The 26,962-nt window shown below is 39.2% G+C and overlaps 1 protein-coding gene across 3 annotated transcripts in view, besides 2 other annotated features; it reads right to left on the bottom strand.

Annotated features, from left to right (window-relative positions):
- Positions 1-26,962, bottom strand: part of RYK (receptor like tyrosine kinase) — a 93,727-nt gene that overhangs the window by 47,210 nt on the left and 19,555 nt on the right. For all 3 annotated transcript variants that reach the window (XR_007095716.1, NM_002958.4, NM_001005861.3), the window contains exons 2-5: positions 18,076-18,197; positions 7,166-7,265; positions 5,353-5,487; positions 3,130-3,183 (exon numbers count right to left, since the gene is read on the bottom strand). Coding sequence is in view for 2 of the 3 variants with exons in the window: in NM_002958.4 (NP_002949.2) it covers positions 3,130-3,183; positions 5,353-5,487; positions 7,166-7,265; positions 18,076-18,197 (411 nt within the window). In the remaining variant the exon portion in view is untranslated. The remainder of the gene's footprint in view (positions 1-3,129; positions 3,184-5,352; positions 5,488-7,165; positions 7,266-18,075; positions 18,198-26,962) is intronic.
- Positions 19,863-20,157: an enhancer, noted in NCBI's record as "tiled region #4898; HepG2 Activating non-DNase unmatched - State 8:EnhW, and K562 Activating DNase matched - State 8:EnhW". NCBI's record gives its function as "activates a minimal TATA promoter and a strong SV40 promoter by Sharpr-MPRA in HepG2 and K562 cells {active_cell/tissue: HepG2 | K562}" and the evidence as "EXISTENCE:reporter gene assay evidence [ECO:0000049][PMID:27701403]".
- Positions 19,979-20,138: an enhancer, noted in NCBI's record as "active region_20561". NCBI's record gives its function as "activates an Ori minimal core promoter by ATAC-STARR-seq in GM12878 lymphoblastoid cells {active_cell/tissue: GM12878}" and the evidence as "EXISTENCE:reporter gene assay evidence [ECO:0000049][PMID:35858748]".

Here is a 26,962-nt window from a genome sequence, read left to right on the forward strand (position 1 = left end):
ACAAAAATTAGCCGTGTATGGTGGTGCGCACCTGTAGTCCCAGCTACTCGAGAGGCTGAGGCAGGAGAATCACTTGAACCCGGGAGGCAGAGGTTGCAGTGAGCCAAAATCACACCACTGCACTCCAGCCTGGGTGACAAAGCAAGACTCCGTCTCAAAAATAATTAACAAATAAATAAATATATAAATAAGAGAGACAAAAAGAAAGCCTCAGCAACAGGGAAAATAACCCAATGACACAGCCACAGCCACACACACACACACACACACACACACACACACACACGCAGAAGCAAACTGAGAAAAAACACACAGCAAGATACAAATGACATAAGCAGGCAGAGTGGAAGATGCAAACAGAAGTAGAACTGGTGTGACTGGAGATTCATGAAAGATTTGATCACGAGTACTCACATCATAACTCTACTGAACAAAACTTGAGGCATTTGGGGTTTATCCTAAGTGAGATGGGGGATCATTGCAAGGTTTCAAGCAAAGCAATTTCACACGGTCACTTAACAAAAAATGACTGCATGATGTGTGAAGAATGCCGTGTAGGGGAGCAAGAGCAGAAGCAGGGAACAAGTTAGAAGGTTACCAGAGTAATTCAGAGAGACAGCACTGGCTTGGACAAGAGTGTCACAGTGAAGATGAGAAGTAAGTGGATTTGGGAACACAGTCAACATACCTTACTAATGGATTGTACCAAAGTAGAAAGAAAAAGAAGAATGAAAAGTTTTGGCTCAAGCAATAACTTGGATAAGGGTAACTTTACAAAGATAAAAATAAGCAGGTTGGGGATGTGAAAATCAAGAGTTTTGCCCAAGTTAAATTTGGAGTACCTAGTCTACTAACTAGGTACCTCATATCTCCATGCACAGACGTTAAACTGACAGATATACAAGTTTGGAGTTCTGGGGATAGGTCAGGATAAAAGATAAAACTTACAGCTTTCAAAAACACATGGAAATAAGAAAAATAAAACTTTTCTAAAATTTAACCTTCCTATCAACAAACAATAAATCAGAACAGATTAACGTAGAGACCAAATGACTTCTAGGGCAGCTAGACTTGGCTGTAGCCTGAATGAAGGCATGACTTTCATCAAGAATTACCTTATGCCACAGGAAAGCTATTCAATCTTGGGAGGGACAGAAAAAAATTCTGAATTCTGGAGGCATATGTTAGCAGTACTGTCCAAGCACTTTCCAGAGCAGAGCCAAGGATACGGCTCTGCTGGGCAGATCCCCCTAGATGCGCCCTGCTCAATTACCTCCAAATTCCAGGCTTTCCTATGCATTTTTCCCATTCCCTCATTCATCCTTCATTTGCCACCATCTGGTCACCCTTCAGCTCTCAGAAGAGCTGTCACTGTTCTCAGGAAGCTATCCTTGGGTTCCCAAATCCCCTGTGCTTGCCTTATCATAGCTTGCCATGCTATGTTGGTATCATTGCCTATATTGCCTCGTCTATTTCTCCCACTACATTATAAACCCCCGAGGAAAGGATCTCTTTGCTCACAGTTTAGTCCTCTGCTTCAGTCATACCGCCTAACACACCACAGACTCTCCATAGGTACTGGGTGGATGAATAAATAGAAAGGGCGGGAAGATGAGAGGCAGCAAGGAAGACACAGACAGAGGCCAAGAATATGCAGTACTGCTCTTTGTGAGAAGTAATATCCTACTAGCATAAAAGAAATGGGCAAAGTCACCAGAATTTTAAAAGTAAACTTTGGCAACAGTGACATTTTTTTTAATGTTTTTTCTTTCTTTTCAGAAATATTCCAGCAAGTAGACGATATGTCACATTATTTTACAGGCAAAAAAATTCCCCTTTGGGACATCCAGATACTCTGTGCCTCCCAAGGTGATGAAAAGACAAAATAGGCAGCACAGAGTACCTACCATCTATGGACTATTCTTACCAAAAGAGTTGGTTCTAAATCTAATCAAGTGCAAAATCTATCTGCCAGTTTACAGAAAAACAAACAAACAAACATGTTCAATGATTTCAGGAAGATGCAGAATGTGGGAAATTCTATGGGACAAATGACATAATTTCTTCAATAAATAAATAATATTAATAAAAGGGTTGGTGGTTTCTGATTAATACAAAACATATATCACCCAACAGTTGTGTAGGCTTCATTTGGATCTTGATTCAGGAGGAAAAAAAGACATTTTAAAGACAATCGGGTTAATTTGAACATGGACTATCTATTGGAGATACTAAGCAACTGCTGTTAATTTTGTTATATGTGATAAATCAAAATGAATAGGTATTAGGTGATTGTGGGGGTTTTTTAAAGGCCCTTTTAAAGGAGATCTACACTGAAATATTTATGGGTGAAATAATCTGATGCCTGGGATGTGCCTGAAAATACTCTCCTCCACCCCTAACCAACCACAAAAGGAGGGAATCAATGGAAGAACAATGGCAAAGTGTTGATCATTACTGAGGCTGGGGGATGGGCACATGGGAGTTCATCAAAGCGTACTCTGAACTTTTATATACTTGAAGTTTTCAAAACCAATTTTTTAAAGTCTACTTGCATGAAGAGAATCTAGTATCCTTTTAAGATACTGCTATTAACACTACCGCAAGAAGAGTAAGACCCAACGATGTCTTCATGTCAGAAAAAAAAAAGAAGTTTGTAATAATATCTAAACACAACCGATACCAAAAAATAAAAATCTACTTTGCATACCTGCTCTGTAGGTTTAAGTAACATAATATCTTTAAGCTTACACCTTCACCTGGATGAAATTAGCTTAAGATTAGGTCCAGACTGCAAGCCAGATTTTCTAACCCTCTGCTAATAAACATCTTACACATATTTCATGGTCATACTTTAATTATGACTACTCAAAAATATATGATATTCTTGCTTGTAAAACTTTTTAGCTTACTCGTTACAAAATACGTATAAATTTTAGTTCTCAAAATATTCAATATTCTAACAGTTTCATGACCTATCCACCAGTCTACAAAGCACCAGCAAAATAACAGCATGGTGTCATTATCATTTGATACCATGAGGCCTCCAAGCTTCATGCAATCATGTTTATATGCAGTCAACCATTTTTCATTTCTAATAATGGATAAAGATAATACAGTAACACTTACAAATAGTTCTGCTAGTGTTTTTGTCCAAGGCTGAAGTTTTTACTTCTTCAAGTTCTGAATTTAAAGGAGAAAAATGATGCTTTAGAAATTCTCTTTTCCATGAAAATCCTTAATTACTATAATTATCAGAACATTGCTGGAACTCAGCAACAGGTATGTGTTGCGAGATAATGAAAGCTATGTTACTATTCTGATAATCACCACTACAGTCACCAATCAATAGTCTATACCACTGTTAGCCAAAGGGTGTTACTTCTAGATGCTCAGTGAAAATGTTCCTATGATCAAGAAGTTTGGGAAAAGCCACATACTATAGTGTCTCTTTGGAGCTTCACAGTGAACATTAGAATATAAAGACTGAAAGGAGTTATGGGGTCACAAAACTTGTCTAACCCATAATTCCCATCCTCATATGATAAAAGAAACTTTTCTTGCTAGTAACACCTACTAACATTCCATATAGTACAGATGTTTTCTGTTGCAGACAGTTTTTGAAATATAGTAGGCTGGAAAACCAGATAAATAAATACATTAGGATCACATAATAAAGTAAGAGTCATGAGCCTGAACTGGATGACTAGGGTGGCCAAAACCATGACCAACAAATACAGAGGGCCAGAGAAAAACTTAAGTCTAAAACAGAATAGAAAATTACTCCAACACAGAATTTTAATGTTAATTTCACACACATATTAAAGAAAATGGAGAAAGTATGTGACCATTTTGAGTATCAGCTGATCATTAACCTTAGCAGATATTAGCACTGGTGGGATCCAGAGGCCACACCATGTCTGGTTATCATTCTGCCTTACTTAAGAGTAACAGATGAAGCACCATGGTACAGTCATGCCCATCTCTCTGAGGATAAGGAACTGAATGTTTTACACTCCTCACTGGCTAGCTGTGGTAGCCTAGGTGGCCAAGGGTCCAATCTCCTTATATCAAATATATAATGACTACATTGGAGTAGAGAGTCTCTGAAATCTCCTTTGTCTTTAACATTACATGGAAGTTGGTATATAACTGAATATAGTAGAACTGAAAATTGTACCAAAACACTAAAGCTGAAAGATGCTAACTCTTCTTTCTTAAAATGTCTATTCAAATGTAGTGCAGCTTTTTTATTGGCATGTACCCAGACATTAGCCAATTCAACTCACTTGTTGGCCTTAGGTGTTTTCATAACACTCAGCACTGATTTCAATTGGGAAATTTATTAAAAGAAAGTTTAACAAAGAGGCTGAGAGAACAGGTCTGCATCCTAGCTGCACCACTTAGCTATCTGATCTTGACAAGCTAGATTCTCTGAAGCTCAGCTTCCTTTTCTGAAAATGAAGACAATGAGAGAACCCATTGCCTAGGGTTGCTGTAGGGATTAAACAGGTGTAATACCTATCAAGCACTTAGAACACAGTAAGCACTGAGGGTTTGCGAGGTTTTTTTAAAGTATATTTCCCCCCCCCATCTTAGATACTAACCAATTCTACCTACGTGACCTTGTAAATTTGGGTCACTGTAGCTTTGTGGAACTTACAGTGAGTGGGTTGGACTAAACTTGTAAGGAGAACTCTAAAATTCTTTGATTTATGACCTAGCATGCTGGAACTCTTTCATATCCACTCGATTTCTTCAGTAACAGATAATTCAAAACCAAAAAGAACTAACTTTGCTAAGTACCCACATACGGTATTCTAAGTTTTAGGCTAGATTTAATGAACCGTAAAAAACAACAAACCTCTGAAACAGGTATTATGCCCATTTTACAGATGAAAAAACTAAGCCTCAGAGAGGTTAAGTAACTTGTATCAATATCCTGAAAAGAGCAGAGCTGCCATTCCAACCCAGGTCTATCTCACCCGAGAGCAATGCTTCTGCATAAAAGTAACTTGATAAGGGAAACACAGTTAACATAGTTACTCAGAAGTCCCAACAGATTTTTCTTATTTCTTTACCTCTTCAACCATTTTAGCACTATTCCTAATGGAAAACATCTTAGCAATTCTGACAAAAGATTTGAGAAAGCATGGACTGAATGAGGCCTGAGTGAGATTCTTGGCTACCAACCATCTGGGATTATCTCAAAACTTCACCTGCCAGTGCTCTTTTCTCACTTGCAACTATAATCATGAGTTGGACATACTTAAATCTGTGAAAAAACAACAAACTCTATTTTTCACCTTCTCACATACATGTAAAACATATTTTGGTAAATAAATTCCTTACTTTTGTAGCACATTTTCCTTCGTTTAAAATTTAAGACGGTAAAATTTTTTGAAGAATTTACTGTCAAGTTGAGCTGCATTAGTATCATAACTTCAGAATCTACTTTGCCAGTACAGGAAAGCTCTACCCGAAACACTGTTTAAAAAAGATAAGAAAAATATTTTACATTTTCTAAAAATCAACATTAATGCCCCAAAATGATTCTTTTAAACATTTTAGAATTACTTATTTTTGCTGCAAGAAAACTAAAAGTAATACATTTAAATAAAGTAACTAAACAAAAGTTTTTAGAGATCTTCAGACTACCACACCTCTAGACATTAAGCATTTAATTCATTATGGATATAAAAGTTAGTATTAAAGAACAAACCAAGACATCAATGAAGAGATAATTGTTTTCAACTTCTGCTCATTGTTTTTAATACACCACTTTGTCTCATAAGTCCTGCTATTCCAGTACACTAAAACTGAAGGATCATAAGGCAAACCTTAACAGACACATCAGCAATAGTAACAACAGAAATTACATGATCAAATGGAAAGACAACTCACTACCAAAATGCAAGTATGTCTGCTCTTAATAAAAAGATTAAATATAAACCTGTAAATGAATCTGATAAATTGTCAGCTATCACCTTTCTCAACAGAAATTGATTTTAATCCATAATTGTAACAATGGGATAACAGACTTCAGTGCATATAATTTTTTTCCCCAATCTTTAAGATTCTTTTCCTACAAATTTAAAACCTATCATTCTACCATCTGTATGACTGCATTAAAGATATGGGCATTTCTAAATTCCTTTACTGCCCATAAAAATTTAAGCAGCCCTCCTGTGCTTTATTTAAGCTTAATGTATGTCACTGATAACAGTGAATATGACTGCCAGAAAAAGTTTCACAACACTATTGTGGCTGATACTTTCAATTTTTAAAAATATCCATTTCTTACAAATACCACAACTTCAAGAGCCTAAGAAGTTAGCTCAAAAGCAGTTAAATTGGTGTAAATAATACACTTATTCATTTACTCAGACTGTACTGAGTGCCTATCCTGCACCATACTCTATGCTATGCATCAAGGGAATTGCTAGATATGTAATCAGTGCAAAAACAGTTAAATATAAGGTTCTAAGGGGTAGGAAGAATAGAAGTTAACAAATGAAAGAAGAGAAGGTGGCAGAAAAAAGACAGTGCAGATCTTGAGTCTTGCAGAATGAGTAGGATGAATAGAAAGGAGTTCACGAGCAGAAAGAGGAAAAGATGATCCCAAATACTGAGACCAGCACATGCAAAGGCTTGAAGATCAGAACTGCATGTAGTCTGGAACTGCTACAACTCTGGGGCAAGTGCAGCAACAAGGCTAGACAGGCAGGCAGGGGCAGATGGTAAAGGATCCAGGACACAAGGTGGTGAGTCTGGAATGTTCAGTTGATGGGAGTGGAGAGCACTGATGGGCTTCACGTCACAGGGTCAAACATGACCGTGCAAAGATCATCTGGGCCACAGGGTGAAATGTGGTGCCTAATCAAAGGGAAACAAGATCAGGCACAGGGACTCATGTGGAGGTAAGTACCAGCAATGCAGAAAAAGAGACAGGGAGGGCGGAGCACAGAGAGTTCCAGAAGGACAGAAAAGAGAGAATGGTTTAAGAACACAGTGCAAATATTTACAAAAATTACTTTTCACAGTACTCATACATCTTATGCCTATCAAGTAATACACACTACACATCAGTAAACTTCTGTTTTGGGGCCATAGGGGATGCAGTTGAAAAAGTATGTTAACTCTGTCTTTGAAGACTCTTACTTACCTGATAAAGTGCGTGGAACTTCCCCCTGAACAGAAATGTTGACCTGGGGCATATCCATTGCCAAAACATTGTCCACTTGGAATCCCAGCTTATATTCAACCTGTAAAATAGACAAAAATAAACAAAATGGACCTGTGATAACAAGAAGGATACTATCAGCTTGACTTCATTAATTGGCTCATTAATCAATGGATGAGCCTTTCATATGTACAAATAATCTAGCTATAAAAAAATGCAAATTGTCAGAAACAGTCCTAAGAATTTTCAATTGGATAAAAATTCAACCAAGTAAGCCACCCTCTATTTTAAGTCCACAACAGGACCACCACTCTTCCATAAAACCTGCCATCTAGGGTCAGAAATCCTGCTGAGAACTATGCAGCACTGACAGAGAGGCCATGGAGAGCCAGATATGAAGAACCAAAGCGGTGAGATATGTAACTGACAGACCATAAATAGCTACCAATGCCTTCTCTGGTTGATAAATGAAAGCCAAGCTCGGAGGGCCTCCTTGTGGCTGGTGGAGGAAGGTCTGCTCTGCAGACCCACTCACACAATAAGCAGATTCCAAGGTAGATTTCTCATAGAATATCTAAGTCACATCCTCTAGTCTTGCTCTCACCAAAAAGAAAGTTCATGTTTAGATCCCCATTTGACCTCTGGATCTACTTCTTAAGTGATTCAGAATCCAGAAGGGAAGACAGGCAACCCATGAGATGTCTCTAAAACACCAATGTTATCTATCAATACTTGGCCTACCCAATGTGGCTTAACAGAACCAATCAGCATCAATAATTAAGGCTCTGTTGCTATGGAGAGTTCATGAAAGAAGCAGCTCAAACTGCAAAGCAATAGCTGAAATTCAGAATGGCTGCCAGCATCAAGACTTTCAATGAAGCCCTACAGTTCACATCACTCTCTGCCCTGCCCACAGGTTCTTGATAACTATGGTATCCCTCTCTCATTCAGTGGTCACAAAAGGTATCATTGGTGGCAGACTGAGATTTGCAGAGCCACGAGGCAGCAGGTTGGGAAAAGAGTGAGAAGAAAGATGTTCGATAAACCATTCTTCAAGAAACTTAACTAGAAGAATGGGAGACAGATGGTGAAGTGGGGGGTGTTCCAAAGCTTTTCTTTGTTTTTAGATGAGATATTCAAATATGTATATATGCTAGTGAAAAAAGCTAACGAAATGGTACATAATAAAGATGAAAGAAAAGAGGGAAAGAGTATCATCCCAGATATAAGGGAAGGGATGGCCCTTACGCTTGGGCTAAGGTGGAAGGCGTTGTTACCCATGAATAAGAAGGGCTCAGTCCAGAATTTGATTCCCCTTGGGGTTTCTCCTTTCACACTCTATTTAAAGTGTCTTAGCTAAACACTGTAGGGGTATGCAAACATTAAACTCTTCCTTTGCAGTTAAGATAGGTACGTAAACAACTGTTAAAGGCTGTGTTTGATAAGTGCCACATTCCCAACAAAGGAAATGTTCTTGCTGCAGCACATCAGTGACTTCGAGGTACCTTGGCTAGGAAGTGTTCACATTCACCTTAGCATATCACAATACCATTGCTGCCACCAGGGGGTGCTAGAGAGCCACAGCCAAGCAAGTTTGGGCAGGGAATGAGCAAGCTCTCCAGCAATACATCAAAGAATGCATTATACATCCCTACACCGATGCTATCTCTGAACAGGACCATACATGAAGGGTAGGTGCACAAAAGAAATCAGCACCGCCAGCAAGAACTGGGTTTGGAACCATGAGACCATGTGACTCTTAGGTAAATTTGTAACTTCTCTGAGTTTCCATATTTTGTAAAATAAGGGTAATACATGTTATGAGGATCAAATAAGATCATTAATGCAATACATACTGTTAGCCTGGCACAAGTCTCCTCTGACATCAGCAGCATCAGCAGTCATTCCAGAACAGCTACCTTATTGCCATGCTGCACTTCTCCATAATCATCAGCCCACTGCTGGCCCCAGGGATTCTGACACAAACCCTCCTGGGTCTGTCAAGAACACTGTTGCAGGCCTTCTGTTTTTTCCCCATTCTGAGAACCTCCCTATTCAGAACAGCCTCCTACACTCTCTGCCTCTTCACAAATGTCTTCCCACCTTCTCCCACAACCTGGCTTTCCTCAGAAGTCATCTGTTCCCCTTCCTATCATTCAGTTCCTACAACACCTGACCCTCAGGGCCTAGACAGTAGGGTCGGCACTCTTTAGGATCACTAGGTCCTTCCCAGACATCCCTTCCTCATGCCCTCATGCAAATCCCCTCTACTTTGAAGTTTATAACTTCTTTTTTTGAGACCGAGTCTCACTCTGTCACCCAGGCTGGAGTGCAGTGGCGTGATATCGGCTCGCTGCAACCTCCACCTCCTGGGTTCAAGCGATTCTCCTGCCTCAGCCTCCCGAGTAGCTGGTGGGACTACAGGCACACGCCACTATGCCCAGCTAATTTTTGTATTTTTAGTAGAGACGAGATTTCACCATGTTGGCCAGGATGGTCTCGAACTCCTGGCCCCAAGTGATCCACCTGTCTTGGCCTCCCACATTGCTGAGATTACAGGTGTGAGCCACCGCGCCCGGCCGAAGCTCACAGCTTCTACTCATAATGGCTACTTCTCATGCCATCAACACCAATAAGCCACACAGGACTTGCAGAGGCCTTGGTCTCCTGCCATGTTCTCCCTGGCTTCAATATTCAGTATTCAATATCCTGACACGCTAAAGAATTACTTCACTACCAAAACAAATGCAAAAATGCCATTCTATCAAAGATCCCATCACCACCTCTGATTCCTACAAAACTAGTTCTCTGATTCCATCACTCCAAGTCAGCCAACATTTATGAGGCACATTTATGAGCCAGGTGCTGTGTTCATAGCAGGATGCAGCAGCCAGTTAAAGCCACTTCCCTTCTCTCCAGTATAGCCGTGAACACCTAGTTTCATGTTCTCCACAGCCCAAGCCCTAAAGAAGGCAACATTACTGACAGTCATATTGGCACCTTCAGCTGGTTGACTCCTTCCAAACCCTCAAAGGGCAGCTCTAGCATCCTGACCACCCCTTCTTACTCTACTCCTGCTGCTCAGCACTGCTGAAGGAAATCCATCCTACAGAAAAGGAGCTCTTACACAACAATGACCTCCAGTCTCAGGGGAGGCCCTTAGTTCTACTCAGCAATCCCTTCCTCACTGACCCTCTTTTCCCTCGTCTTATTCCAACCTTACAGGCCTTCCCCACCTCCTCACACTCAATGTTTTTGTCCCTTTCCACTAGTACAGAGGAACCCCATTTCTGCCTTTCTTTTCAACACCCCGGCAGATCTATTAGAGCATCTATTCTTTTCATTCTAGTCCCAAGGAAAGGTCCATTTTCCTCTCCAAATGTAAATCCTTCAATCCTAGTACACTAGGGTTCTAGCCCATTTCACCACTGATGGGATATCTTAATCGTCAATTTCTCTCACTCTCTTTTACCTTCAATCCCTCTCAAGTGTCCAATTACCTACTAGGCAATTCTATCTAATTATCCTACAGCCTTCCAACTTAACAAATTCAAAGCCACACTTACTATTTCCCCAGAAACTTGCTGTCTCCTTTATTCTAGGTCTCAGTTATCACAAGGAGAGAAGGAGCAGACCAGAGACCAGAACCCCAAAGTAAGCAGAGAGGGCCTGGCAAAGGGGTCCAGGGCCATAACTGCAGTTAAAAAAGCAGCTAAGACTGGCGCCTGAGCATCTCAGTGTGGCAAGGTGAAAAGGAGGAGAGAAGGGAAGGAAATGAGGCTGTGAGTGTAGCTGGCCAATGAGGGCACAGGGAGAGGTGCAAAGGGCTGAGGAGGAGATTTGAGAAGGCAGCCCCTTTGGTCCTATCAGCAGCTTAGAGGAATATGAAGCATGAAACTGTGGAAGCCTCCTTGCTGGCTCCTTTTTTGAGGAACTGTCTAAAAATGGGAGGCATTCACAAGGTAGTTCTCTTTTCCCTCTGCAGTCTTTAAGATATAAATTTTAAAACTGCAGTTTCTGGGATTAGAGAAGAAATTGCCAATTATTGAAGTCCAATTTTCTCTAGTTTGGCATGTATCGATCTGTAAGGACTCTCACTTGCCAATCATCCTTTAAAGAAACAGATCTGCTCAAAAGTTAAATGTACAGTCTACTGGGACAAAGAAATTTGAACAGCAGTTGTTTATCAGAATGTAGAGTGAGCCAAAATACTTCAGAAAAGAAACTACAGGCTAGGCGTGGTGGCTCACACCTGTAATCCCAGCATTCTGGGAGGTCAATGCAGGTGGATCACTTGAGGCCAGGAGTTCAAGACCAGCCTGGCCAACACGGTAAAACCCCGTCTCTACTAAAAATACAAAAATTAGGTGGGCATGGTGGTGGGCACATGCTACTCGGCTACTCGGAGGCTAAGGCAGGAGAATCACTTGAACCTGGGGGGCGGAGGATGTAGTGAGCCAAGATCGCACCACTGCACGCCAGTGTGGGTGACAGAGTGAGACTCAGTCTCAAAAAAAAAAAGAAAAAGAAAAAGAAAATAAAAGGAAAGGAAAAAAAAAGAAACAAATTACCAAAAATATCAACATTTGAATAAACTGAAAAATAAACATTTTTGCTTATGTTCCCTTACTTGGAAACAAATGGCAATTACAAATAGGAAGCTGGTAAGTAAAGCCATTTCCTTCTGGAACACAGAGAGTACAGATTTAAAGTGAATACACTTGTCTACAGCCAAATAGCCTTTTAATTTCTCTGAACTTACTAGAAGTAATGCCTTTCTCATAGAAACCTCACTCTGCAAAGGACACAGCTGCTGGCCTCCAGCAGTGCCTGCTGGAACTCTGGACAAGTTCCCTGCAACTCCTAGAAAATGATGACGAATTCCTGAAAGCACAGAACAGCCATGGGGTAAGGGTGGGTAGTGGGAATATTCTGCTACATTCTGGCAAATTTTCGCTTTTCAGATATCTAAAATAGCTACTGACGGCCAGGCGCGGTGGCTCATGCCTGTAATGCCAGCACTTTGGGAGGCTGAGGCGGGTGGATCACGATGTGAGGAAATTGAGACCATCCTGGCTAACACAGTGAAACCCTGTCTCTACTAAAAATACAAAAAACTTAGCTGGGCATGGTAGCGGGCGCCTGTTGACCCAGCTATTCAGGAGGCTGAGGCAGGAGAATGGTGTGAACCCAGGAGGTGGAGGTTGCAGTGAGCAGAGAAAGCGCCACTGCACTCCAGCCTGGGCGACAGAGTGAGACTCTGTCTCAAAAAAAAAAAAAAAAAAAAAAAAAAAAAGCTACTGACACTTAACAGACACAGTTACATGTTTCTCCTGGATATTGGGGAATGTTCTGGAATACAGAAGAAACTATCTGTTAAAGCCTCTCAGTAGCCTGCTTTTAAGTGTGTGGTCTTGTGAAAAAGAAGCAATACCAGAGTTCTACTCCCAACTCAAAATGCAATTAACACAATGGTCTTTCCTGACCACTCACTAAGGCATGTGTGACCTATGCGCTAAGAGTAAGACAGCTTCAAGCCTCTGAAGAGACCACAATCTGTGTGGCAAGACAAAATGGCGAAAACACTGAGAAACAGTATTACCAGAAGCTGTGATATGTGAAACTAATGTTAAAGTATCTACGATGTTGAACCGACACATATCAGGGAGCCTGCAGATCTCTGGAAGCAAATATTTCATCTTCTGGCAAACCTTAAAAAGCAAGAACCGAGGGTTTCTGATAAAGTATTAGAGCTTGAGAGCCACGGCCCTCCTTCTGAAAGTTCATGATTACACCTCAGGGTTAAATGATCAGGTGACAAACCCTTCATCAAGCCTCCCCTGCCCTCACGTGTGACTTTCCCATTTCAGGTCATCTCTACCTTCTGCTTCCTCTAACCCTACTTCTCCTACCTTAAGCAAATCCCTTTCCAAATCTGGGTCTTAATTTCCTCACAGGAACTGATCAATAACCAAAGTACAACTATATAATAATAAGTAATACAGCCATTTGAAGGGGGAAAAAGTACAACTCTGTATCAAGTGACAGAGATCCTTGACCAGGATATTGTTCAGTGCTCTGCAAACTGCAGAAAAGTAGGTGGTATGTTAGCTGTTGAAAGATGTATATATACATATATGCATGGAAGCTTATATACACACGAACTATTTCCAAAGGAAAGACAATAATCAGGCAACAGTGGCTGACTCAGGCAAGGGGAACTAAGTGGCTGGATTGCTCAGGGATGGTACTAGAAGGTGCAAGGGACTTATTTTTCACTGTATACCCTTTATGCTTTTTAAATTTTTACTATGTGCATATATTATCTACTCATAAGATTAATTTTTAAAATAAATAAACGTAATCAACTGTGCTAAAATCACCAGAGATTATTACCTAGAATTGGGAACTGCAATAGTGGCTGAAGCCTGAAACTAGATTAACACAGACATATTTCCTTAGTTTTTTACTAAAAAAACATCGTAAGACGGTTACTTTCCTCTAAATTTTATACCTGTTACAGATGAACTTGTGAAATCAGTTTAGGTTTATATTCAACCCACTCATTTTTCCAAACTTATAACCTCACTCTATTATGAGTAAAATATCTGAAAAATCCCATTTGTGCAACTACTGTCGAGTGTACCCAGCCTATATGTTTTCACACTTCCAGAAATAGAAAAGTCACCACTCCTAAAGCCGCACATCCCAACTCTGAAAAGCCCTAACTGCTCAGAAGCTCCCCATTTGTTGAGCTGGGCCCTGTGGCTTCTACCTGCACATCTCTTCTGCAGTTAGTACCACGTGCTATACCAAGCACAGAGGATACCCTTTAAGGTGCTCAGCAAGTAGGAGGGAGAAAGAAAAGAAAATCAACTATTACAATATTCTTAAAGTATAACTAGGGCTATGAGAGAGAAGGGCACTGTGCAGACAGAAAAGGGCACCTGACACAGCTGGAGAAGAGGTGACAACAGGTCACAGCTTTATGAGGTAAACAGGAGTTATTCAGGTAAAGAATGAAAAAACGGCATTTGTGGCAAACAGCAGCACTGTGACAGGTCACAGGGCATTCATGAAATTCCAAGACAGACAAAAATGACACTAAATGACTGGCTAGATAGGAGGCAGAAAAGAAAGGCCGAGACCAGATCATAAAGGCCTCCTACGAAATCAAGAGCTTTATTCCAGTAGCAACAGAGAAGCCTAAGGTGGCTTTGTGGAGGGTGCAACAAGAGGTCAGTCCAGAGGAAAGGAGACCAGTTAGAAGACCACTTCCGAATCCAGCAAGAAACAATGAAGGCCCAAACTAAGTGTGAGGCATTGGGTCACAAGAGAGGTAGGAAACAAATTTAAGATGTAATTATTAGAGAGAATCAACTAGATTTAGAAAGTATAGGAGAAGGAAACTAGGATCCCTTCTACATTTCTGGCCTAGACATGAAAATAGTCATACCCTCCAAAAAAAATCAGGAAACTTCTGCCTCACAAAGAATATCATACCAGCAGTGGCAGCCCAAATGTGCACTAATAATATTTATACCTGCCAAAGAGGTAACTTAGAAATTATGCTCTATAAAATAATGTGAATGATATGGGAGTACAGTTACAGCTATACCAAGGCTTCTCCTAACCCAAAATGTACCATGCTAACACTGCTTCCCCTTCAAACATATATATTCACCCGAGCCCCTCCTACCTGCTCTCTCCCACTCCAACTTCCCCCTGTAACAGGCTCCTAAGACTCAGACACCCATTACCAGCAACATCAGGGCCCTGAGCTCATTCCAAATAACAAACGGTGTATTTTAACTGTTTTAAAGGAATCAGTAAAAGAAGGTTTTATTTTGTTCAGTCCTGACTGCCACTTCCCACATTGCCTTTGTACTCACAAATCACTACCCATACACTTGCCCAGGAAACCTTCTCATATCAGCATTCTTTTTTCCTAAGTGTGCCCAGAAATATTCACACTCTGTTCAAAGTCAATAGAAGTACCTAGAACAGAATTCTCTAATAAACCTTTCACCATTTTGAAATACATTTATTATTTGTTTTTATATGTATCAACATCAAAGGTAAGAATAACAACAAAGAATTAGCTATCAACTTTTTGGAGAATATAAGAAGCTTCTCTGCCTGAAAGATGTTCATAGAAACACTGGACCTCAGAGTTGCAAGGGAACTTAAAATTCAGTAACAACCACTCCACAAATACTTGAATTCCTTCTATAACAGCCTTATTGAATGGTTATCCAGTGTAGGTCTGACCTCTTCCAGTGAGAGGAAACACACTACCCTCACCACACCACAGGCTGAAATACGAAACTAGTTCCAAAAACAGATGCAAAAAGTAGTGGTTGAAAGGATGATGAGGAATGAGATTTTTTTAAAAGATAGTTTCAAATTATCTCCCCACAAATTACTTACTAACTATATATAAAGTAAAAAACTTGACAGGGGAGAAATCTGGTGACAAGAGTGTTCGGAGTTACCACCACCAGTCATGGGACAAATTGGCACCTTGTGCACTGGGAAGGACAGCACCTTTGTGGTATCACTGCCAAAGAGATATTCCTGAATCTAATCATGAAGAAACCTCAGACAACACAAACTGAGGGGCATTCTACAAAATTACTGGCCTGTAAGTTTCAAAAATGTTAAGGTCAAAAAACACAAAGAAAGGCTACGGAACTGTTCCAGACTGATAGGGAACTAAGAGACATCAACTAGTAAAAAATTAGCTATGAAGAACATTGTTGTGATAATTGATAAAATGTGACTACTGTGGATTAGATAATAACATAATAATGTCAAATTTTCTGGTTTTGATCATTGTATTTTGGTTGTATAAAGAATGCCCTTTTTCTTAGAAAATACTCACTGACGTATGGGGAGGGGGAGGGAGAGGGAGACTGGAAGGCAAACAAGTATACTTAAAATGTTGGTATTAGAAAATGAAGGTCAAAAATAAGCACTTATTCACTGGTACATCTGGCAGTATCTTTCAAAGTTTTAAAGACACACACATTGGCCTAGCCACTTGACTTCTCAGCAGTAATTTACTATTCAGAAATAAGGCCACAAGTGCACAAAAACTTCTGAACAAAGATGTTCTTAACATATTTATATACATACACACACATATATATGTACATATACACACACAGGGATACACATTAACACACATTTTTTTCTGTGTTTCTATATTCATCAAAAGCAAAGATTGAAAAATTTTTAAATAAAAGAAATAGCAAAGGTAGAAACATCAATAAAAGATGAACTACCAATTGTTTTCATCATCCCATTACCTGGATTTTGCCTATAAAATGAAATGAGGGAAACTGTGTAATGGTGAAGGGAAGCATTGTTTGAAATAATAAAATGCTATTAAAAATCCATGTGTCCCATCAACGAGGTACTTCACAGATAGCAATATAGCATACATCCATACAATCTCATATTATAAAACCACTAAAGAGAATGAGTGAGAGAAAAAGAAAGATGCCTAGATAAGTTATTCTGTAGGGGAAAAAGTACTGTTCAACATACATGTCTAAAAATCCCTTTTTTGTTTAAAAAGGGAAAAAAGGGGACTTTGAAGAAGTTATACCAAACTATAAACAATTACTTCTGAGTATAGAACTACAAAGTCTTAACAGTTCTTTTTCTTTTTTTTTTTTTTTTTTTTTTTTTTGAGACAGAGTCTCACTCTGTCTCCCAGGATGGAGTGCAGTGGTGCGATCTCGGCTCACTGCAACCTCCGCCTCCCGGGTTCAAGTGATTCTCCTGCCTCAGCCTCCTGAGTAGCTGGGAATACAGGTGTGTGCCACCACACCTCGCTAATTTTCGTATTTTTAGTAGAGATGGGGTTTCACCATGTTGGCCAAGATGGTCTCGATCTCCTGACCTTGTGATCCACCTGTCTCAATCTCCCAAAGTGCTGGGATTACAGGTGTGAGCTACCACGCCAGGCCTAGTCTTACAGTTCTTAAAACATTTCTGTAATATTTAAATTTTCCCAATAATCACTGTTGTTTTCTAAGTAGAAAAAAATGAAGATTTTTAAAAATCTATATTAAAGTGGCCAATTTAAATAACTTGGAGCAAATATTATGACAGACACTACTCTATAATACTTTTTTTAAAAACTCTACAATAGGTATTCTTATTTATAGTAGCAAGACTATTTTTATTTCCTGAATAAAATCCTATTCAAAAGCCTATATAAAGCTGATAAAAGAAACTGAAGTTGGTTGGGTACAGGAGGCACCTCCATGCTCAGCCTCCGACTCTTTGACTTAGGAGAAAACTTACCATGTTTGAGGGACCCAGGCAGTCAGAGGCAATGTGAAGAATTCAGCAACAAGTAGCCCAGGCAAGAGATTCTTAAGTGATTGGGTTTAGCCCTTATGGGTAAAGAAGCCTCACCACAGGACACATGGGGGCTGCATCTGCTGTACCTTTCTTACACCGTTTCTCCATGAGTGGGAGAACTGTATCCATTCTGTCCAACATGTCTAAAAAGCCTATCTTACCAATCTCCACCCCTACACCCATCTCCTTTCACCACAGCAGCACAGGCATTATTGGGTCCAACTGTACCCTTTTCAAGCTAGGTCTGGATCTCTGTTTGAAGAGCCTAAAAGGATGTTAAGTGTTGTGTCATGTGCTAATCAATTAAATGATAGCCACCTTCGTTTTAAAGGATTCAAGAAATTTTAGAGGAATAGGCCAAATATTTGAAATATAAATCTGAAAAGACTCAGTACTATTATATCACATCACCAGCGGACCCTTCAGTACAGACAGCAGCCCAGTCCTCAAACACAGCCCTTGCCTCTGTGGCTGGGTGACCCTGTCATGATGTCTGTGGTTAGCCACTCTCTTACCTTGGACTTCGCATGCCAGGTGAAGTGCAGGAAATTTGTCTCACTGGGTACTAACAGACTAAAGGATAGAGCGTAGTGACTAATAAGGTCATTTCTCACATAATAAAGTTCTGCATCAAGACCTAGAAAAAAATAGGAAAAAAATAATTAAACACTTAAAATATTCTCAAAATCATCCCTATCAGTATTTCAAATACAAATAGAGTGAAGATAATATTGATAAGCAAATGAACATCACAAATGGCCCTAACATGGGCTGCCTTATGAAGCAAAAAAGACACGGGGTTTTATCATCACCAAGAAAGATGAAGAAATTGAGACTTGAAACAATTAAGCAGTTATCCAGCTGAAAACAGGTGTGCTAGAACTAGATAGAACTCTGGGAGCCACTCTGTCTTCTGAGGGCCAGTGTGATGCTCTTTCTTCTGGACACAGTGCTTCTTAGAGGAACAGCTACAAAGAAATGCCCCTTCCCCAAAAAATTTACGTAGACTTAGGAAGGGAGATTCAAAATGAAAGGGAGAAAGGCCCCTCGGATAAAACATAAGCCTGAGCCAAGCCTCAAGCCTCCAGCCAGAGATGACCTCCACCTCCTCTGACAACACAAGGTCCTTGCTGTTCTGATAGCATTTACCATGGTACACACTTGCACCAGGTGTTTTGCAGGCACATGCTGTCTTCCCTACCAAGACTACAAAGGGAAGAACACTATGTTTTTCATGGTATCTGCAGGACACAGCTCTCTGCACAAAACATAAATGCTTGTTAACCAAGAGGTTAGTACTATAGACAAAACAAAAATAAATGAAAAGCCTGGAATGCCGGAGAAGTGACTCCGAAGTTTCACTCACTCCCATACCACCTTCTCAGCCAGGGCACATACAATCTTCCATACGTATCAGGATCTCAATTTTGTCACACCCTTTTATCCTGCCTGTATTTAATATTTTTCTTTAAAACTTATTTAATTTGTTAAAATAAAAATTTTTAAGGCAAAATTTAATCACTACTTTTCAGTGGCAAATCAACAGTTACTGTTAAAAAAAGAGTTATCAAAAAAACAAAAGAAAAACAAATGTACTAAATTCTAGCTCAATTCTGGTGCCTACCAAGAAGGCAGTGAACTTGAGCCTAGCTCATTGTTTATAAAAAGGGAGGAGGGAGGTATAATCAAGTGTTTGAGAAATGTAAAAAAAAAAAAAAAAATCACACAGAGGATTTCTCCATGATCATCCAAGGAACTGAAAGACTAAGAGCAGGGAGTAACTTTCTCTTGAATTGATTTACTGTTATTTAAAGTTCTATCCAGGTGTCCCTCTAGTAATACATGACATATATATTCCACAAGTTAGAGGGGGAAAGATACTGAGGAGAACAGCCAAAATGCAAATTTCACATTTACTGAGCCGGCACTATGGGGTCTGAAACCTCACAGTATGCAGAGAGGTCAAGATGGAGATCTCATACCTCCTAAGAATATAGACCTAGAAACAAATCACTCTCCTACAGGTATTTATCCTGTAAAATTAGTTTTCTCGTTTCTGAACTAGGTGTAATAAAATCATTAATGCAGAAATGAAATTTAAGGCACGCCACATAGGGGAAAGCTGCTGAACTTGTAGGGTCCAACCCTACAGGGCCTGTGGGTTTTTCTCCTTGTGTGCGGAGCCCAGAGATCGTAGAAATAAAGACAAAAGACAAAGAAATAGAAAAAAGGCAGCTGGGCCTGGGGGACCACTACCACCAAGATGTGGAGACCGGTAGTGGCCCTGAATGCCTGGCTGTGCTGTTATTTATTGTATACAAGGCAAGGGGGCAGGGTAAGGAGTGTGAGTCATCTCCAATGATAGGTAAGGTCACATAAGTCACGTGTCCGACGGACAGGGGGCCAGCCCTTCCCTATTTGGTAGCTGAGGTGGAGAGAGAGAGGGGGCAGCTTATGTCATTATTTCTTCTATGCATTTCTCGGAGAGATCAAAGATTTTAATACTTTAATTCTGCTACTGCTACCTAGAAGGCAGAGCCAGGTGTACAGGATGGAACATGAAAGTGGACCAGGAACGTGATTGCTAAAGCATAGCATCGCAGGGAGACGTTTAGGCCTCCAGATGGCTGCGGGCGGGCCTGACTCATGTCAGGCCTTCCACAAGAGGTGGTGGAGCAGAGTCTTCTCTAACTCCCCCGGGGAAAGGGAGAGTCCCTTTCCTGGTCTGCTAAGTAACAGGTGCCTTCCCAGGCACTGGCGCTACCACTAGACCAAGGTCTGCTAAGTAACGGGTGCCTTCCCAGGCACTGGCGTTACCGCTAGACCAAGGAGCCCTCTAGTGGCCCTATCCGGGCTTGACAGAGGGCTCACACTCTTGTCTTCTGGTCACTTCTCACCATGTCCCTTCAGCTCCTATCTCTGTATGGCCTGGTTTTTTCTAGGTTGTAATTGTAGAACAGAGATTATTATAATATTGGAATAAAGAGTAATGCTACAAACTAATGATTAATCATATTCATATATAATCATATCTATATTCTATTTCTAGTATAACTATTCTTGTTCTATATATTTTCTTTATTATACTGGAACAGCTTGTGCCTTCAGTCTCTTGCCCCGGCACCTGGGTGGCTTGCCATCCACAGCACTAGCTGGGTAGCACTGCTTTTATTTATCCTAAAAAAGATACTGAAAGCAGAGACAGAAATGCAGACCCTTCTGCAAAAGCCTCTCCCTGCTGGCAGGAGTGTTAGCAAATATCCAGGAATGGAGGATTGGTGGTGCTGGAGAAAGGGGTTAGAGGAAAAATTGTAAATAATTTAAATTTGCCTTTTTTCTTACGTCTGGGTCTTAGTCTAGTCTAGATAGGTGCTGTTTACTTAGAAATATATGTCAGATAAATAAAAAGAAGAAAATTACATGAGGCAGTACTGACATGAGACAAACTAGGACTCAAGTTGAAAGGATTTCATACTAAATGTATTAATATAAAATTTACTAATGAGTTCATATTAATAAAAAACACAAGAAGATACAGTAGTACAACTGAAAAAAAAAAGGGCTTCAAATATAGAAAGCAAAAACCAACGGACAAAAAGGCAAAAAGAAACACACAAATCCACAATCACAATTGGAAACTAACATCCTCTCAGAAATCAAAAGATCAAAACAGTTGGGCATGGTGTTACACCTGTAATCCCAGCTCTTTGGGAGGCTGAAACGAGAGGATCCATTGAGGCTAGGAGTTCAAGACCAGCCTGGGCAACACAGCAACAACCCATCTCTATAAAAAACTTTTTTTAAATTAGCTGGGAGTGGTGGTACACACCTGTAGTACTAACTACTCAGGAGGATGAGGCATGAGGATGGCTTGAGCTCAGGAATTTGAGGTTACCATGAGCTATGATCACACCACTGTACTCCCGTCTATGTAACACAAGACCCTCTCTCTTTAAAAAATAAAAAGATCAAAAAAAAAAAAGATCAAAGGTCACCAAATTGAGTGTGGACATAGATGATTTGAACATATAATTATGGGACATGAAAAAGTGAGGGGGGATTAATCATGAATTAGACCACATGCATTTAAAATTTTTTTAAAATATAAAAACAGATTCAAACCAAAATCATACAGGCTACCTTCCCTGATCAAATACCATATGATAAAGATATTAACTATAAGGATGAAGCCAAAAGAGTATTATTTGAAAAGATTAATAAAACAGTTAAACCCTTCACAAGGCTGATCAAGGAAAAAAGAGAAAAAACACCAAACACAAATTACCAATACTAGGAATGAAAATGAAACATTACTACAAATCCTATAGATGTTAAAAAGATAAAAAGATTATTATAAACAACTTTGACAATAAAATCAACAAATTAGATGAAACAGAAGCACCCTTTAAAAACATAATTTACCAAACTAAAAGAAATAAAAATTTCAATTAAAAACCTATCCCAAAAGAAAGCTCCAGGTCCAAATGGCTTCATTAGTGAATTCTATCAAACATTTAGGGAAGACACAACACCAATCTTACATAAACTCTATCAGAAAATAGTTGAAGAGAATACTTCCTAACTCATCTGATGAGGCCAGCAGCATCATATTGATACAAAAAACTTACTAAAACATAATGAGAAAAGAAAATTACAGAACAACATCCCTTATGAACATAGATTCATTCTCCACAAAATATTAGCAAATTCAATACAAGAATACATAAAAGGATTAACACATCATGACCAACTATATATGAAAGGTTAACCTTTTAAAAATCAGTATAATTTACCATATTAACAAAATAAAAACCCGTATCATCTCGATACAGAAAAAGCATTTGACAAAATTCAAAACCTATTAATGATAAAAACTGTCAACAAACTAGGAATAGACAGAAACTTTCTTAGTTTGGTAAAGAACATTAAAAAAACCCTACAGCTAATATCATACTCAATGGTAAATTATTAAATCCTTATTCCTAAGATCAGAAACAAGGCAAAGATGTCCACTTCCACAACTTCCATTCAACCTTGTACCGGAGGTCCTAGCCAATGTATTAAGACATAAAAAGCACAAGGATGAAGTAAAACTGTCATTGTTCACAGATGACATAATCATATGTATAGAAAACACTGTGAAATCTACTAAAATACTACTAAAACCAACTAGTGAATTTAGCAAGGTCTCAGAATACAAAGCCAATACTTTAACATCAATTGTATTTCTATATTAGCAACAACTAGAAAATAAAACTTAAAAAATCAATACTATAACATTAAAAAACACCAGGGACCTAGGAATAACTCTAAAGCTATGTAAGATCTCTACACTGAAAACTATAAAACATGGCTAAGAAAAATTAGAGAAGACCTTAAAAAGTGGAGAGACATACTGTACCATTCTCCTTAGATAAGCCTGAATACTGTTAACATGTCAAGTCTCTCATATTGATCTGCAGATTCAAAGTAATCTTAATCAAAATCTCAATAGATTTTTTTGAAAAAATAAATTAATCGTGAAATTTACATGCCAACAACGATCTTGAAAATGAAAATGCCTTGGAAGAGGAACAAGGCAATTCAACTTTAGTATTTTCAACAAGCGATGTAAAGCAACTAGATGCATAAATATACAGAGAAAAAAAAAACCTTAAAATGAAAATTAAAACCACAATGAGATACCACCTCATTCCTGTTAGGACAGCTATTATACTGCTGGTAGGATTATAAACTAGTACACCATTATGAAAAAGACTTTGGAGGTTCTTTTTTTATTTTTTTTTAAGATGAGTCTTGCTCTGTCGCCGAGGCTGGAGTGCAGTGGCGCAATCTCAGCTCACTGCAAGCTCTGCCTCCCGGGTTCACGCCATTCTCCCGCCTCAGCCTCCCAAGTAGCTGGGACTACAGGTGCCTGCCACCATGCCCAGCTAATTTTGTTTTTGTATTTTTAGTAGAGACAGGGTTTCACCATGTTAGCCAGGATAGTCTCGATCTCCTGACCTCGTGATCCGCCTGCCTCGGCCTCCCAAACTGTTGGGATTACAGGCGTGAGCCACCGTGCCTGGCCTGACTTTGGAGGTTCTTTAAAAAATTAAAAGTTAAGGCCAGGTACAGTGGCTCATGCCAATAATCCCAGTGTGTGGGAGGCCGGGACCAGAGGATCACTTAGGCCCAGAAGTATGAGACCAGTCTGGGCAACATTAGCAAGACACTATCTCTACAAAAAATGTTTACAATTAGCCAAGCATGGTGGTGTATGCCTGTAGTCCTCACTACTTGGGTGGCTGAGATGGGAGGCTGGCTTGAGCCCAGGAGTTCGAGGCGGCAGTGAGCTATGATCGTGTCACTGCACTCCAGCCTGGAAGATAGAACAAGACTCTGTGTGTAGGGGGAAAAAAAAATAACTACCATATGACCCAGCAATCGCACTACTGGGTATATATCCAAAGAAAATGAAATTAGTATGTCGAAGAGGTATCTGCATTCCCATGTTTACTGTAGCACTATTTACAATAGCCAAGATATGAGATCAACCTAACTGTCCAACAAGGAATGAATGCATAAAGAAAATATGGTAAATGTACACAATGTAGTATTATTCAACTTTTAAAAAAATGGACATTCTGTCATTTGCTACAACATGAATGAACCTGGAAGACATCATGTTAAGTGAAATAAGCCAGACACAGAAAGACAAATACCGCATGACATCACTCATATGTGGAATCTTTAAAAAAAAGAAAAAAAAAGTTGATATCATAGGAATAGAGCACAGCAATTATTACTAGAGACTGAGGCGGGGAGGGGAAAGTGGAGGATGGGGAAAGGTTAGTCAGTGGGTACAAACTTACAGTTAGATAAGAGGAATAAATTCTGATGTTCTAACACACAGTAGAGTCACTAGTTAACAGTAAAACACTGTATATCACAAAATAGCTAGAAGAGAGGCTTTTCAAGGTTATTATCACAAAGAAATGATAAATGTATCACGTGATGAATACACTACCCTGACTGGATCATTATACAGCAGAGATATGTATCAAAACACCAAACTGTACTCTATAAATATGTACAATAATAATGTGTAAATAAAAAATAAATAAAAATTTAAAAAATAAATGTTTAAAAAACTCTTCCTAGGGTTACAAGTAAAAAAATAAATAAACCTTGACCCCTATCTTACATATCAAACAAAACCCAATCTGAGATATAAACCTAAATGTAAAAGCCAAAACTATAAAGCTTCTAAAAGAAAACGTAGGATAGAAGAGGCCCTGTCTGCCAGAGCGGAGCGCTCCCTCTCTGGGGCTCTGTCGCTCTTGCTCTCTGGCTCCCTCGCCCTCTCTCTTTTTCTTCTTCCCCCTCCGCCTCGCACTCTCTCTACTGCCTTCTCTCTCTCTCTCTCTCTCTCTTTCTCTTTCCCCCAACCCCTTCTGTCTCTCCTTCCCTCTCTCCCTTGCTCTCCTTTGGGCTGGAAAAAAAAAAAAAAAAAACGTAGGATAGAAAATCTTCACAACCTGGGGTAAGCAAAGATTTCCTGGACAGGTGACACAGAACATAAAGCAACCAGAAAAAACTGAAAATTATCAAAAATTTAAAACCTTATCAAAATTTAAAAATCATCAAAATTAAAAACTGAAGTTCATCAAAATTAAAAACTTCTGTCCCTCAAAAAACATTAAGAAAATGAAATTAAAGTCACAAACTAGGAGAAAACAGTCACATCTATCTAAGAAAGAACTTAGCTGGGGGAAGGGAGAGATGTTGGTTAATTTTTTTTAATGATTTGTTTCTAGAATATATAAAGAACCAAAAATTTTTTAACCAAATTAAATAAAATGGACAAAAGATGTCAGCAGACATTTCATAATTATATACATACCCAATAAGCATATGAAGAGGTGCTAAACATCCTTAGTCATCAGAGAACTACAAATGAACACCACAGTGAGAGCCATTAGCACCCAAGAGAATAACATTGAACGTTGGCAAGGAGGTGGAGTAACTATTATACAACTCTTACACATTGCTAAGAGTGTAAAAAATGTTCAACTACTTTGGAAAACACAGTTTCTTATAAAGTTAAACATACACCTATTCTATGATCCAAGAATTCCATTTCTGAGTAATTATCCAAAAGAAAAGAAAACATATGTCCACAAAAAGACTTATGCACAAATATTCATATCCCTCCCCCGAACGTTTTTATTTTTGAGACAGAGTCTCACTATGTTGCCCAGGCAGGATCTCAGCTCACTGCAACCTCTGCCTCCCAGGTACAAGCGATTCTCCTGCTTCAGCCTCCTAAGTAGCTGGGATTATGGGCACCTGCCACCACGCCCGGCTAATTTTTGTATTTTTAGTAGAAACGCGGTTTCACTATGTTGGCCAGACTGGTCTCCTGACCTCAAGTGATCCATCCGCCTCGGCCTCCCAAAGTACTGGGATTACAAGCGTGAGCCACCATGCCTGGCCATGTTCACAGCCCTTTTATCCACAATAGCCAAAACTGGAAACAACACAAATGTCCATCAACAGATGAACGGATAACCAACTGTGGCATATATATAAATGGAATGCTAATCAGCAATGAAAATAAGAGACTTTGTAACAATAGGGATGAATTTCATAGACTGTATGAGTGAAAGAAACTACACAAGAGAGTATATACTAATATTTCCACTTATATAAAGTTATAGAATAGGCAAAAGTAATTTATGGTGATAGAAATCAGGTCAGTGGTGACCCTGGAAAGGGGAGTGGAAGGGAAACTGTTGAATTTATTACAAAGAGGCATCAGGGAATTTCTGGGGTGATGGAAATGTCCTATATCTTGGTTGGAGTGGTGGTTACATAGGTGTATGCATTTTTCAAAACTCAACCAAGAGAACATTTAAAATCTGTGTATTTCATTATACGTAGTTTAACTAATTTTTTTAAAAGATGGAAAAAAGGAATTAACACTCAATGGTTTTTACCTCTCTGCTTATCTCAAGAAGCTTGCAAAATCATAGCATAGTATTTGTACTAACATAAAAAGTTTTAGAAAAAATTAATCTTAAGTGATCACCAACTTCCATATTTAAACTTCAAAACACCTTTCCCAGGAAAATAAAGAACTCTGTTCCTAATAACAATTTATTGTTATTACTGGTAATAATAACAAAAAATAATATGTAAGTAAGTTTTCCAGACACAGTTCAAAGTATCAAGAGCATCTAGGAGTTCTGTAAATTCAACTCCATGTTAAGCTAGATAAAAAGTACCTGTAAGCAGCCAGACAAGACCAAAAAAAAAAAAAAAAGAAGAAAATGCAGGCACGTCCTCAAGTCATACATGCAGTCATTTGATAATTCGTGGTTTTGTTCTACTAGAAATTTTATCTTATCTGTCAAGGAG

The sequence above is a fragment of the Homo sapiens genome, chromosome 3, assembly GCF_000001405.40.
Source record: "Homo sapiens chromosome 3, GRCh38.p14 Primary Assembly".
Classification (NCBI taxonomy): Eukaryota; Metazoa; Chordata; class Mammalia; order Primates; family Hominidae; genus Homo; species Homo sapiens.